General features: G+C 44.6%; 3 protein-coding genes across 17 annotated transcripts in view, besides 4 other annotated features; all 3 read right to left on the bottom strand.

Annotated features, from left to right (window-relative positions):
- Nucleotides 1-10,618, bottom strand: part of PHF11 (PHD finger protein 11) — a 33,024-nt gene extending 22,406 nt beyond the window's left edge. For 2 of the 8 annotated variants that reach the window (NR_135323.3, NM_001419874.1), the window contains exons 1-2: nt 10,089-10,618; nt 9,354-9,515 (exon numbers count right to left, since the gene is read on the bottom strand). Coding sequence is in view for 1 of the 8 variants with exons in the window: in NM_001040443.3 (NP_001035533.1) it covers nt 10,476-10,569 (94 nt within the window). In the remaining 7 variants the exon portion in view is untranslated. The remainder of the gene's footprint in view (nt 1-9,353; nt 9,516-10,088) is intronic. The other 6 variants (NR_135322.2, NM_001040443.3, NM_001419873.1 and 3 more) reach the window with 5 other exon arrangements.
- The window catches only part of SETDB2-PHF11 (SETDB2-PHF11 readthrough), an 84,703-nt gene that overhangs the window by 22,406 nt on the left and 47,457 nt on the right, over nt 1-14,840 (bottom strand). The gene's annotated exons all lie outside the window — the stretch shown is intronic.
- Nucleotides 10,037-10,086: an enhancer, noted in NCBI's record as "active region_7749". NCBI's record gives its function as "activates an Ori minimal core promoter by ATAC-STARR-seq in GM12878 lymphoblastoid cells {active_cell/tissue: GM12878}" and the evidence as "EXISTENCE:reporter gene assay evidence [ECO:0000049][PMID:35858748]".
- Nucleotides 10,277-10,556: a silencer, noted in NCBI's record as "silent region_5342". NCBI's record gives its function as "represses an Ori minimal core promoter by ATAC-STARR-seq in GM12878 lymphoblastoid cells {active_cell/tissue: GM12878}" and the evidence as "EXISTENCE:reporter gene assay evidence [ECO:0000049][PMID:35858748]".
- Nucleotides 10,577-10,816: an enhancer, noted in NCBI's record as "active region_7748". NCBI's record gives its function as "activates an Ori minimal core promoter by ATAC-STARR-seq in GM12878 lymphoblastoid cells {active_cell/tissue: GM12878}" and the evidence as "EXISTENCE:reporter gene assay evidence [ECO:0000049][PMID:35858748]".
- Nucleotides 11,127-11,812: an enhancer, noted in NCBI's record as "H3K27ac-H3K4me1 hESC enhancer chr13:50068895-50069580 (GRCh37/hg19 assembly coordinates)". NCBI's record gives its function as "activates a minimal SCP1, AML or CMV promoter by ChIP-STARR-seq in naive H9 embryonic stem cells {active_cell/tissue: H9 hESC(naive)}" and the evidence as "EXISTENCE:reporter gene assay evidence [ECO:0000049][PMID:30033119]".
- The window catches only part of SETDB2 (SET domain bifurcated histone lysine methyltransferase 2), a 50,730-nt gene continuing 47,457 nt past the window's right edge, over nt 11,568-14,840 (bottom strand). For all 7 annotated transcript variants that reach the window (NR_172062.1, NM_031915.3, NM_001160308.3 and 4 more), the window contains one exon: nt 11,568-14,839. Coding sequence is in view for 6 of the 7 variants with exons in the window: in NM_031915.3 (NP_114121.2) it covers nt 14,722-14,839 (118 nt within the window). In the remaining variant the exon portion in view is untranslated. The remainder of the gene's footprint in view (nt 14,840) is intronic.

The raw sequence follows: 14,840 nt of genomic DNA, 5'->3' as shown, positions 1-14,840 counted from the left end.
CCAGTCTTCAAGTGGAAGGCAGGGCACTTGTTTTTATGAGAGAGTCTTAATTCCCAGAGAGACAAAATATTGGGGACCCAAGTGAAAAAGCTATTTATTTTTTATTTTTTACTATGCTAATAGAAGAAAAGAATTAATGAGTTCACTTCTAAATGCCTAATAATGAGGATAACTTCTTCTTTTTAAAATGTAGAGACAAGAGGCTTGTTCAGTTGACCAGGCTGGAGTGCAGTGGCTCACTGCAGCCTTGAACTCCCAACCTCAAGTGGTCCTCTCAAGTCACTGGGACTATAGGTGCATGCCACCAAAGCCAGCTAATTTTTTTTTTTTTTTTTTTAGAGACCGGGGTCTTGCTACCTTGCCAAGGCTGTTCTCAAGCTCCTGGCCTCAAGTGATCCTTCTGCCTTGGCATTTTCAAAGTGCTGGGATTACAGGCACGAGCTACTGTGCCTGGCCAAAATGAGGAAGACCTTTATTCAAGAAACACAACCAGGAATTTAAATACAGGCAAACCTCTCAAAACACTGCTTTGCCCATAGCAAGCTCTCAATAATAATCATTATTGTCACTACAAATGAAGAAGAAAACAATGGCATATTAAGAAATAGTGCTCTGGTTAATTATCTATTTAAAAAGTTAGAATCCTAATGCCATACTGTATTCAAAAATAAATTCTATGAGAATTAAAGACATAAATGAGCAATGTACTTTAAGTGTGCTTTAATTCAATATCATGATTAGGAAAGATACATGAAGGTAGGAAGTAGATTTTTTTTTTAAGGCGAAGAATGGAAAAAAGGAAAGAAATCTAAGGGAAGAAGAGGTAGGAAGAAAAGGCAAGAGGCAGAGAGAGGGAGAAGAAAGCCAGCTGTTGAGATCTCCACCCATGTGTCAGTAAGAGGCAAAGTTTTTGAACTGGTTATTTGCTATTTGGCCACAAGAATTCGTTTAAGATTTTTTTGCCCATTGCAATGTTCATCCTCTTACTTCCTTTGATTTTCTGTAGTAGAAAACAGCTTTTATTTATAATTTTCAAATTTTAGTTTTGAAAGAAAGATTTATTTTACCATTTAATGGGAAAAGTTTTCAATTTAGATGAGGTTAACTGCTTAAGTGATCCCTAAGTCTCTTCTGTTATCCAGATCTCTTCTCTGTCTCTTTAAGTTAGGTCTTTCATTTCACCAAGTCAGAAGGCTGCATTTGGAGCTAGCGTTTATTTCACATTCTGATCAGTTTCTTCTTTAATTTCTGTTTCTTGGATTTGGGTCCCACCTACCGGGGACACAAATTAACAGTCCCCAGCTTCCCACCAAGCAAGAAAAAAGGGTAAGATAGAGTGAAAACTGCTCAGACGGAATGAGCTAGCTGTTTTTTTCATTCATGTCTAACAACCAAAAATTTGGGAGTATCTTTTTTTTTTTTTTCATTTTTATTTATTTATTTTTTTATTATTTTTTTATTTATTTTTTATTTATCATTCTTGGGTGTTTCTCACAGTGTTTGTGTCCCTGGGTACTTGAGATTGGGGAGTGGTGATGACTCTTAACGAGCATGCTGCCTTCAAGCATCTGTTTAACAAAGCACATCTTGCACCGCCCTTAATCCATTTAACCCTGAGTGGACACAGCACATGTTTCAGAGAGCACAGGGTTGGGGGTAAGGTCACAGATCAACAGGATCCCAAGGCAGAAGAATTTTTCTTAGTACAGAACAAAATGAAAAGTCTCCCATGTCTACTTCTTTCTACACAGACACGGCAACCATCCGATTTCTCAATCTTTTCCCCACCTTTCCCCCCTTTCTATTCCACAAAGCCGCGATTGTCATCCTGGCCCGTTCTCAATGAGCTGTTGGGTACACCTCCCAGACGGGGTGGTGGCCGGGCAGAGGGGCTCCTCACTTCCTAGTAGGGGCGGCCGGGCAGAGGCGCCTCTCACCTCCCGGACGGGGCGGCTGGCCGGGCGGGGGGCTGACCCCCCACCTCCCTCCCGGACGGGGCGGCTGGCCGGGCAGAGGGGCTCCTCACTTCCCAGTAGGGGCGGCCAGGCAGAGGCGCCCCTCACCTCCCGGACGGGGCGGCTGGCCGGGCGGGGGGCTGGGGAGTATCTTTTTTTTTAGACAGAGTCTCGCTCTGTCACTCAGGTTGGAGTGCAGTGGCGCAATGATGGCTCACTGCAACCTCTGCCTCCAGGGCTCAAGTGATCCTCCCACCTCAGTCTCCCACCTCAGTAGCTGGGACCACAGATATAGGCCACCATGTCTGGCTAATTTTTGTTATTTTTTTTTTTAGAGACAGGGGTCCCATTATGTTGCCCAGGCTGGTCTCAAACTCCTAGGCTCAAGATCAGCCTGCTTGGCCTCCCAAAGTGCTGAGATTACAAGTGTGAGCCACTGCACCCAGCCTGAGAGCATTTCTTGTGTTTGAGTCACTATGTTGTGCACTCTAGACCGATGCTGTCCAACAAGAAACATATAACAAGACACAAATGTGAGCCACAGATATCACTGAAAACTTTCTAGGAGCCTCATTAAAAAAATCAAAAAGGAGGCTGGGCCTAGTGGCTCACGCCTATAATCCCAGAACTTCGGGAGGCTGAGGTGGGTGGATCACCTGAGGTCAGGAGTTCAAGACCAGCTTGGCCAACATGTCACTACTAAAAATACAAAAAAATTAGCCCAGTATGGTGGCACACACCTGTAATTCCAGCTACTTGGGAGGCTGAGGCACGAGAATTGCTTGCACCCAGGAGGCAGAGGCTGCAGTGAGCTGAAATTGTGCCACTGCACTCCAGCCTGGGCAACAGAATGAGGCTCTGTCTCAAAAACGACACAAACAAACAAACAAAAAACCCAAAAAAGAAACAGGTGAAGCTAATAATGTGCTTTATGCAACCAAATATGTCAAAGAACTTACATCCTTTCAACATTTAGTCAATATAAAAGTTATTCATTCTTTTGTACAGAGTCTTTGAAGTCCAGTGTGTATTCTGTGCTTAAAGCATGTCTCAATAGGACCAGTCACATTGTACGTGCTCAACAGCTATCTGTGGTGAGGGGCTCCTCTAGTGAATAGTAGAGCAGAGGACGTAAAGAAATGTGGTGAGATAGAACTGGTGTCTGCAAGAAGCTTACGAAATAAACAGGGAGACTAAATAGCAGTTAGGAAAATAAAATGGCAGAATTAAGTGTCACAAAGTGCAACTGCCAAGTGAGTGGGAATTCCAATACACGCTAAGGAGGTAGCCGAGGAAGTGCTCCTCGTGGGAAGGAGTATTGTCAAGGGCAGGGGCCTGGAACTGGTACAACCTGGAGAGGAGGGAAAGGTGGGGTGGGTTGGGGTATGGGCTAGGAGGAACACTGTAGAGGGAAGCAGCCATATGGGAAAAGGCCCAGAGATCGGAGCTGAGACAGTAAGGCAGCCAGGCTGAGGAGGAAAGGCTGCACAGGAAGCTGGGAAAGGATTTGAGAAACGTGTTGAAAGGCTGCCAAGGAGGATGTCTGAGCAGGAGAAGCACATGATGACAAAGTTGTTTAAGAAGGTCAATCTTGGTCGGGCACGGTGCTCACGCCTGTAATCCCTGCACTTTGGGAGGCCGAGGTGGGTGGATCACAAGATCAGGAGATCGAGACCATCCTGGCTAACATGGTGAAACCCCATCTCTACTACATTAAAAAAAAAAATTAGCTAGGCGTGGTGGTGCATGCCTGTTATCCCAGCTACTCGGGAGGCTGAGGCAGGAGAATCCCTTGGACCTGGGAGGCAGAGGTTGCAGTGAGCCAAGAATGTGCCACTGCACTGTGGCCTGGGCAACAAGAGTGAAACTCCGTCTCAAAACAAACAAACAAATAAACGTATTATCAAGGTACAGTTAGGACAGAAGGTTAGATGATGAAGTCAAAGGAAAGAACACGAAATGCAGAGAGAAGTGGATCATAATCTGGACTTACGAATGTAACATGCAGTAAGGTCACAATCCCATTTCTTCTCTAAGGCACTCATGTCCTTAGCCCATTTTTCTGTTGAATTATTATTTTCTTATTGGTTTATAACAGTCAGGGTATTAACCCTTTGTTAGTCATATATGTGGTCTTTTAACTTTGTTTATAATATTCTTTGATATACAGAATATTTAAATGTTTTACTTGATGAAATTACAACAATCATTTATTTTATGATTTCTGCTCTTGGGTGAGATGGACATAGAAAACACTTACCTCTGTTTTCTTCTAGAATTTTAATTTATTTTAATTAATCAATTTATTTATTTTGAGACAGGGTCTTGCCCTGTCACCCAAGCTTGGAGTGCAGTGGCATGATCATGGCTCACTGCAGCCTCAACCTCCCCAGCTCAAGTGATCCTCTCACCTCAGCCTCCAAAGTAGCTGGGATTACAGGTGCATGCAACCACATCTAGCTAATTTTTAAATTTTTGTGTAGAGGAGGGATCTTGCCATGTTGTCCAGGATGGTTTCGAACTCCTAGGCTCAAGTGATCCTCCCTCCTGAGCCTCCCAAAGTGCTGGGATTACAGGCATGAGGCACCATGTCCTGCCTTAATTTAATTTTAGAATTAAAATATTGGCCGGGCGCGGTGGCTCACACCTGTAATCCCAGCACTTTGGGAGGCCGAGGCGGGTGGATCACCTGAGGTCAGGAGTTCGAGACCAGCCTGACCAACATGGTGAAACCCTGTCTCTACTAAAATTACAAAAATTAGCCGGGCATGGTGGCGGACACCTATAATCCCAGCTACTCGGGAGGCTGAGGCAAGAGAATCACTTGAACCTGGGAGGAGGAGGTTGCAGTGAGCTGAGATTGCACCACTGCATGCTAGCCTGGGCGACAAGGGCGAAACTCCTCAAAAAAACAAAACAAAATGAAACAAAAAAAGAATTAAACTATTCATGAACATAGAATAAATTGTTTTGTAATGTATGAGATGGGAATCTAACTTATATTCATAATGGTTAGCCACTAATTTAAAATCTCCTTTTCATATAGTTGGATCTGTTCCTCCTGTGCTTCTGTTTTATTCCATTGAACAATGCTACACTTAAAATTTTCAATGTTTTAGAATATATGTTAATATTTGACAACACAAAGTCCCCTGCCCTAGGATGAAACTGGGGGAAAAACATCCCAATATTCTAATTACCTCAGACCCAAAATCTACTTTGATAGAATACTGTGTTCTTATTAAAGGACACTCAAAACAGACATTAAAACTTGTAAAGTACAGGCTTAAAAAAAGCCAGTGGGGCTGGGCGTAGTGGCTCACACCTATAATCCCAGCACTTTGGGAGGCCGAGGCAGGCGGATCACCTGAGGTCGGGAGTTCAAGAGCAGCCTGACAAACATGGAGAAACCCCGTCTCTACTAAAAATACAAAATTAGCCAGGCGTGGTGGTGCATGCCTGTAATCCCCGCTACTCGGGAGGCTGAGGCAGGAGAATCGCTTGAATCTGGGAGGTGGAGGTTGCGGTGAGCCGAGATCGCACCATTGCACTCCAGCCTAGGCGATGAGAACAAAACTCCATTTCAGAAAAAAAAAAACCAAAAAAAAAAAAAAACAAAAGTTGGTGACTCCCAAATTAAAAGCGATACTATCTGACAGGATATGCAGCTGCCTCTTGTTGTATAAGGGCTGAACATTTTTGTACAACATTGCTTGTTTCTGTGCACTGGGCAGAGCTGTCAAGTCACTGATACCTGAGCTGAGCTCCCAAGTACTTGGGTTCCAAGAGTCTTGGCATCTGGGAATACAGAGGTGGTTTGTATTCTCTGACAACGGGGAATACAGAGAAGAACAAGACAGACAAGACAGATATGCTGACAACACTGCTGTGCTAGACCCAGAGTTTGTCTTCAGTGCAGATGGATTAAAAACATGGGGTGGGACCCACAGGTTCTCCCTAGTGGCTTTTTCCTGCTAAATCCCCCCATATCACAGTGTCTTAATGGATTTCGGCTCTTCTAGCTCTTTTGATCTTCTAGACTGGAGGAAGTGTGTAATTCTCTGCAGTTGGAGGAGTCACACTGAGGACTTTTACACAGGCATCTCTCACTATGGGAGTCACACTGAGGACTTTTACACAGACAGGCATCTCTCACTATCTGAACTCTTGCTATGTGTTATCCGAAACTCATGGACCACATACATTTGGACAGTTTGGTATCCCTCACCATCTGAACTCAGGAACTGTACAGATTCAGAGAGGGAGGGATACCTAAAGGTGTGTCATGAAGGCTGAGGTATTTTAGGGAAGAGCCCATTGGTTTTCATCAGTAGCTGGGACCAAGAATAGTCAGCAGGGCTTTCCAGGCTCCTTTCTAGGGGGGTTTAGCAACCCTGAGGACTCACAGAGCCTGACCCGACAAGATTGCAGAATTTTAGAATTCTCACAAATGAAACTGAGAGCCAAGAAAGTTTATACAGAATGAAACCACAGAAAGATCACAAGCCTGGAATATAAGAACTATGACTAATTCAAACAACACAGTGATTCTTAATCTCTCCGGCAATCTGCAGGCCCTCTTCAATGTGGAAATGGATTGCCGAGGCTCTAGCTTCTACTCTTAAAGCCCTCCAGCCAAGGGTAATCCACCCAGGGCACAGAATCTGGGGTAGCCAGGAAGCGTGGTCAAGGAACACATTCTGCCACTAAAGAAATGGGTGAAACAGTTGGAATGGGATTCACTAATCCTATCATTTCATTTAGAATCCCCTTCCAGTATAGATTTGTTCTGGACTGGTAGGTAACTAATTTATGGTGCTGGTTTGGAGATTTCCTCCTTTCTTCTCCTTTTATCATTAGTGTTTATTGCAATTTACTATTTTAGTTCTTCCACTGTTTGCTGGATGTGTAGAAGCCAATTTTATCACTGGTCCAGTGAATGCCTACCTGAACTGGATACAGACCAAAACAGTAGACATTACCTAGAGGCTTGGCAAGGAACTTGGTAATGGCCTTGGAGAATGAATGGTTCCATCACATTATCTCAGGATGAAGTGGCTAGATATGACTTTGGCAGAAGTTAAGTGTGACTGAATTTGGTTTTGGTATAGCTAGAATTCATTACTGGGAACAGAATGCATCACTGGGAATATCTTTAGAATGTATAAATAGGAATAAGGATGTGTGTGTTATAGAGGAGGGACCATGGGGAGCCTAAGGATAGGATATTCAATGGACTCCTTTAGGGTATCTGTTCAGCTCACAATGATGCGTACACAATGACCCCCAGCAGGCATGTTTGTACTTCATTCCTCTAGACATAGCTGATAGTCCCAGAGGACCTGCTCATCTCTCAGATATACAGAATTCAGGATAGAAGATTTCAGTTCAGATTGGGCTGGTTTCTTAAAGAAGATGTAAAAACTGAGAGGCTGCAAGGGCAGCCATCTTCTATACCATCACCAGGAAAACTGGACCAGAGAAAGAGAAGAACAAAGCAGATACACTGAGAGATGCAGAAATAAGAGATAAAGGAGAGTGTTGTCAAAGTTTATAATGGCTTCTCAGGTCCTAGTCCTCAGCCCTTTCTGTAAGATGCTAAAGTATCCATGCTCTGGGGGTCTGTGAGTCTGGTTTTCCTGCTTACTACTACTAAGCATCCCTCATGCTTAAATTACATCAAATTGTTTTTGTAGTACTTGCAGCCAGTACGTGCTTATTAACACTGGAAGGACCATGACTTACTTGATCTGTGTGTGTGCACTCACATGTTTATATGTGTGTGTGCCCATGTGTGTTTAAGAGAAAGACAGTGCTGGCAGCGGTGTGGAAGGTGGACTGCCTTACCCTCAGGGTCTTTCACCTAGTCTATTCCAGTGATCTCTTGTCCTTGTCTCTATTTTCCCTGTCATGATCCCACTGCATTCTTTATATTACTGTCAGAATGATCTATCTGAAATGTATTACGTTACTGTCAGAATGATCTACCTGAAATGCACTATGCTACTGTCAGAATGATCTACCTGAAATGTACTAGGTTACTGTCAGAATGATCTACCTGAAATGTACCAGGTCACTGTCAGAATGATCTAACGGAAATGTACTAGGTTACAGTCAGAATGATCTATCTGAAATGTACTAGGTTACTGTCAGAATGATCTACTGGAAATGTACTAGGTTACTGTCAGAATGATCTACCGGAAATGTACTAGGTTACTGTCAGAATGATTTACCAGAAATGTGCTAGGTTACTGTCAGAATGATCTACCGGAAATGTACTATGTTACTGTCAGAATGATCTACCTGAAATGGACATCTGCTCATATTTCCCCATCACCTACAGAAGTCAAGCTCCGTAGTGTTATATACAAGTACATTCATTCCTTCAACAAATATTTAATGAGGACTTACTATTATTTAATATTTAATGAGTACCTACTATGTCCTACTACTACTACTAGGCCAACCAGTCTAGGCACTAAGGATAGAAGAGAGTAAGACGAATTTACATGCCAGTGGCCAGTGGTAGAGACAGGCATTAAACAAGTTTTGTTTTGTTTTCCAGGTAGTGATAAGTACTATAGAGAAAGAATAGAGCAGAAGGAGGTAGAGAGTGACAGGAGCAGGGGCAAGGGGTGCTCTTTTAGACAGGATGGGCAGGCAAGGTTGAGGGAAGATGTATATGAGCAGACACCTGAATATGATGGGGAACTGAAAATGGGATAATGTGGCAATGAGTTTTCCTTGCAGAGAATAGCAAATGGAAAGATCCTGAGGCAGGGACAGCTTTGGTGGCTTAGAGGACCTACAAGGTAGCAGGGTAGCAGAGTCATTAAGATGGGCAGGAGTCAAATCAGATAAGGACATGGGGTAAACTGCAGGCCAGGCTCATAGATTGTTCTGAGAGTCATGGGAGACTATTGGTGGGTTTTGAGTAGGAGAATCACATTTGCTTTTTGTTTTTCAAAAAGCATTTTGGCCGCTCTGCAGGCCTGCCTGTATTAAAGGCTAGAATAGAAGCCAGGAAAGCAATAGTCCAGACAGAAGATCATGATGGCGTAGGCTTGGGTGGCAGTAATGGAAGTGGTGAGAAGCAGTCAGGCTCCAGATACAGTCAGGCTGAACACAGAACTGGCTGGCCCGACTGATGCATTAGAAGGGGTGTCCGGAGGAAAGAGAGGCCCTGAGGAGCCACTAAGGTTTTTGCAAGGAGCACCTGGGCGAATGGAATGGGCTGGTGGTTGAGCAGGTTTGGAGTACCTGAATACAGTGGAGGAAACAAGAATTCTCTTTGGGACATACTCAGTTTGAGATCATTTCAGAAATGGAAGAAGTTGGTTATACCAGTCTGGAGTTTGAGGAAGAGGTCAGGATGGAAGCGCATCTCCCGTGACTTACCTTACAGTCCATATGTATACCAATGAATGAAATATCCAACTGATTGGCTTGTGGTTGCCACGTATGATGTTTACGTGTGACGTTTTGTGGTTTGGTGCCTTTGTGTCATCCTCTCTGCTGGGAACACCCCTTCAACTTTTCCACCTTTGGCTGAGTCTTGCCCTTTAAAGGTAAGCCCATGAAACATGGAGAAACCCTCTCTACTAAAAATACAAAATTAGCTGGGCGTGGTGGCACATGCCTGTAATCCCATCCACTCGGGAGGCTGAGGCAGGAGAATCGCTTGAACCCGGGAGGCAGAGGTTGCAGTGGGCCGAGATAGCGCCTTTGCACTCCAGCCTGGGCAACAAGAGTGAAACTCCTCTCAAAAAAAAAAAAAAAAAAAAAGGGTAAGCCCAGCCATCCTCTCCTCAAAAAGCTTTCCCTGAAGACTGGGAGTCAGGAGTCTCTCATCTGTACCTCTGTGGTTCTGACCTCCTCATTAAAGTTGCCTAGTAGAGTCTCTAGGGCAGGGTCTGCCTAACTCATCTTTGTATGCTCAGGACCTTGCCCTGAGCCTGGCACACCGTTTGGAGCTATACACACACGCAAGGGCAGGAACCCATCAGAAGACCCACCCACTCAAGTAGAGGGCCGGGGAGGACTGGAACGACTGGAGAAGGGGAGACGGGTTCCAGTCACGTCCTCCGTGAACGTGAGACCCAGCTCTTCCCTCAGGGCCGCCCCCTGCCTCACCGCATCAGGGCGCCCCTCCACTGTCCTGGTTTACCGGTGAGCGGAGGGGCGCTAGGAGAGTTGACATCGGTTGTGGTGGAAGCACTGGGCTGTCACCCGCGGGGGAGGTAAACCGAAGCGTGCCCACCACTCGCGCGAAACCATGGGCAGTCAGAGCCACCTGTGGAACTGGCCTGGGCCGCGCCCTGTCCTCTGGCCCCCTCCCCCACCAACAGGCACGCGAGTGGTGAGCCAAGTTCGTCCAGCGCCGCCCCGGCGTCTAGGGCCCCGGCCCGGAGTAGGGGCAGGTCGGGCCCCCATGCGGCCACGACCGGAAGGCAGGCCCCTTGACCGGGCCCGTCGCTGCCCAGCCCCGCCCGCCCGCCCGCCCGCCCCCGCGGTACACACCGGTGGGAAGGAGGAGCGCCTCCTGCGCGGGCCGGGCCTCCGGGCTGCTGGCGCCGAGCACCCTCTCGGGCCGGGGCGGCGACGCCTGGGCCATGACTGTGCTGCAGCTGCGGGTGGCGGCCGGATAGCGAGATCCCGGAAGTGCCCCAGCTGCACTAGGTTTCGTTTTCTTAAATCTGGGCTGTCGCTTTGAGTCACTAGCCGGCCCGGGGAAAGTTGGGTGTGCAGAGAGGGGTTGTCACACACACTGCTCCAGATTCCAGTCTAGTCTTAATTTGAATAGCTTAAAAAACCCAAACGCCGGGAGCAGTGGCTCACGCCTGTAATCCCAGCACTTTGGGAGGCCGAGGAGGGCGGATCACGAGGTCAGGAGTTCAACACCAGCCTAACCAACATGGTGAAACCCCGTCTCTACTAAAAATACAAAAATTAGCTGGGCATGGTGGCGGGTGCCTGTAATCCCAGCTACTCCAGACACTGAGGCATGAGAATCGCTTGAATCGGGAGGCGGGGCTTGCAGTGAGCCGAGATCGCGCCACTACACTCCAGCCTGGGCTACAGAGCGGGACTCCGTCTCAAAACAAACAAACAAACAAACACACACAAAAAACAAACAAACAAAAAAACCCCAAACGCCAGGCTTCCCTACTCCACCCCCCACAACACAGCGGGAGAAACAATCACTCTCCTGAGGGTTCCTCCTAAAAACTATCATACTGGCCGGGTGGGCGCGGTGGCTCACGCCTGTAGTTCCAGGACTTTGGGAGGCCGAGGTGGGCGAATCACGAGGTCAGGAGTTCGAGACCAGCCTGGTCAACATGGTGAAACCCCGTCTCTACTAAAAATACAAAAATTAGCCGGGCTTGGTGGCGGGCGCCTGTAATCCCAGCTACTCGGGAGTCTGAGGCAGGAGAATCGCTTGAACCCGGGAGGCGGGGGTTGCAGTGAGCCAAGATCGCGCCACTGCACTCCTGCCTAGGCGACAGAGCCAGACTCCCTCTCAAAAAAAAAAAAAAAAAAAAAAAAATTATCATACCGAGTTTGGCTTAAATAAGCATATCTTAAAAGGACGCAGAATTAGCCGATCCTAAATCCAGTTGCCAGTAGCAAGCCTTTATTTAGCACCCATAGGGTACAGAGCACCATACAAGATGAGGTTTTCAGTGAATCTAACATAAATGCATATAATTATAGTTAAAAAATAAGTTGTTCTGGAAAAAAGACATATAATAGTTGGTGGTTTGCTGAGGAATTAAAGGAAAACTGGAGGTCTTCCACTTTCAGCAGGTTGTAAAGAGGAAGACTGCCAACTAGGGATAGCAGAAGAGAGAACATTAAAAAGGACAATTTGTATAGTCTTGACAACTATGAAATGAATTGCAGAAGAGTGTGGGGTCTGCAAAACAGGGAAGTGAGCAGACAGACCCTAGCAGCCAATTTTTAAATTTTTTTTTGCCCTCCATGCAGGAGGATGAAAGAGTATTTCTTGCCAGGCCAAAATGAAAGGCCCTTTATAAAGAGACTGACATTAGGGTGTTCCCCAGCAAGATAGCTCAGGTAGGTCATAGTAAAACAAAGAGCCCTTTACCACACTCTCAGCTTATAGTAAGCTTTTTGGTGTTCCACACTTAAATATGAGTAGACTACCAAGACCATTAACTCTGAGGAAAGCCTATAATGTGAACGACCAAAACAAACATACAGGGGAAACAAAGAAACAAACCCTGGAGGACACAGATTATGCCGAAAGAATACAGAGATGCATGCCTGTATGTGTATGTATACGTGTGTGCATATACATACATAAACACACAAACATCTTCAAGGAGATAAAATACTGCAACCATGAGCCAAAATAGGATGCTATTAAAAAAAAAGAATATTCGGAGAAGGGGAGCTCTTAGAAATTAAAAATATGAGACAATATGAGACTAGAAAAATAAAATGCAACAGATGAACTGGAAGATTAAATTGAGAAATGCTCCTAGGAAAAGGTCCTAGCAAGAAGACAGAGCTGAAAGTTAAGAGAAAAGATAGGAAAATTAGAGATCAAATTCTGGAGGTCTAACATCTGGAAAACAGGAATTCCAGAAACAGTGAAGAGATGGGAAATCATTAGTTTCAGACGGAATGATCCCACCAGGCACCTAGTACAAAGGATGAAAATGGACTCTTAACAGGGACAGAACATTGAGACAAAGATAAACCTATAAGCTTCAAGAGAGATAAAAATGGATTATATATGCAAAAGAGAAGGAACAGAATGGCATTCAATTTCCAGTAGTCACCCTGGAAGCCAGAAGACAGATTTTCAGACTCCACAGCAACAGCACTGAAAGCTAGCAGATGTCTTCAAAACTGGGCATGGAGACCACTAAAGAATCCTATACCTTGCCAACCAAAACAGCAATCAGGTATAAGGGTAAAATAAAGACATTGTCAAACACACAGAGATTCAAAACATTTACTTTTCATTTTTCCTTTCCAAAAGCTATTGGAAGAGCTTTACCAATATGTGGAAGAGTAAACCAAGGAAAAGGAAAATAATGGCATCTAACTGGAAACAGATCCCACATAAGAGACAAAGTGAATCTCTGGGGTACTGATGGAAGATGATGGCTATGAACCAGTCCAGACTAAAGCAAATCAAGATTTTAGGAGAAATTTCTCCAAGAAGATAAAACTGACAGAATACCTCATATTTCTAAAGGTCAAATGGACTCCACAGGCAGAGCTCAAAGAAATACTGGCTGATCCATAATATTCCCTTTTGCACAAAAATGGTTCCCATACTGATCAAGCTTTTTTCCCCCATTTCATTTTAGTGCATTGCCTGAAATTCCTGCGTCTCTATGGTGAATAAATGGATTTCTCAACTTTCTTCATCTGTAGGTTGCTGGGCTATGTTTTGCTCCTTTTCCTAGCTGTCTGGTTTCCCAGTCTGCTTGGGCTTCCCAGTCCCCTTTTCCACTAGATAGATGATCACGGCCAAGTAACCTATGGCAAAGTGCTTACTCTTTGCCTTTTTTCTGTAAAAAAAAAAGATTTGCAAATCATGCCCAGGAGATACCAAGGGGCTGTTTCAGATTTCATAGTTCAGAATTGTTTTCGTGTGTGTGTGTGTGTGCTGTTTTTTTTGAGAGAGAGTCTTGCTCTATTGCCCAGGCTGGAAGTACTATGGTGAAATTATGTCTCATTGCAGCCTTGACCTTCTGAGCTCAAATGATCCTCCCACCTCACTCCTGAGTAGCTGAGACTACGGGCACATGCCATCATGCCAGGCTAATTTTTGTATTTTTTGTAGAGACAGGGTTTTGACATGTTGCCCAAGCTGGTCTTGAACCCCTAGGCTCAAGTAATCCACCTGCCTCGGCCTCTCAAAGTGCTGGGATTACAGGTCTGAGCCACCATACCTGGACTTCTTGTGTTTTTTAAGTGAAATTTTTGCCCAGTACAATTACTTCTGGCCTAAATAAGCAACGTGTGACTACTTTCTAGGTTTCCTTTTCAGTAACTGTATCTCTATCTAGAACAAAAATATTCAAGTTCCTCCAGGTTTCTATTCCCTCTTCTCCTATCTGTTTGTATAGAAAGAGTAGAGAAAATCTGTGGGAAAGAAGACTCATTTCAAAGAGCTTGCCAGAATCTTACTTACAGAAGAGCTTCTCCCTCTCCCCACTCAAATGGTTGATGGGACAGTGTTTTATCGATCCAGATATTGCTTCTCCAACAAGTGTTAAAATACTTGGGAGTAATATGCATAAAATTAGATCCTCAGGCGCTGTTGCCCACCTTGTAGCTCATAATGGTAAATTATTTGCCAGGAATTAAAAATCAATTTTGTAGGTAAAAATGTGAAATTTAGCTCTTTGGGGGGGCATGAACTAAAAGGTAACAGTCACAAAAGCAATTAGAAACAGCTGAGTTCTGTTATGACATTTGTTTCTCTTAATATATAATTTGTAAATAAATTATAAATTGTACAGTGGTATTTCATATAAAATATACACTTCCATCCTACTCATGTAAAGTAGCACAGCAGTGAACAAGATACCCTATGTGTATGAAAATATCCTAATTGTGTTCCTGGAATTTCTAAGTCACACAAATAAAATCTGAAATAAAACATAAACCCCATGACAAAGGAAAACGGAGGGGAATTTCCTTGATGGACCTAGACCTTCTTTTGCATGGCTTTAATTTCAGCCTGATAAGCTAATTTCACAAACAGGCGTTAGTTACATATTTATAATATTTTTTTTCTACATTTATTAACCCCACATTGGCAGAAGATTTCCTTCTCAGGCACAGTCCCAGCTTCATAGCCATAATCCCATGTTAGCTCTGTTCTTGCTTTCACATACC

Source organism: Homo sapiens, chromosome 13 (genome assembly GCF_000001405.40).
Source record: "Homo sapiens chromosome 13, GRCh38.p14 Primary Assembly".
Lineage (NCBI taxonomy): Eukaryota > Metazoa > Chordata > Mammalia > Primates > Hominidae > Homo > Homo sapiens.
This window is presented reverse-complemented; position numbering and strand designations above follow the sequence as displayed.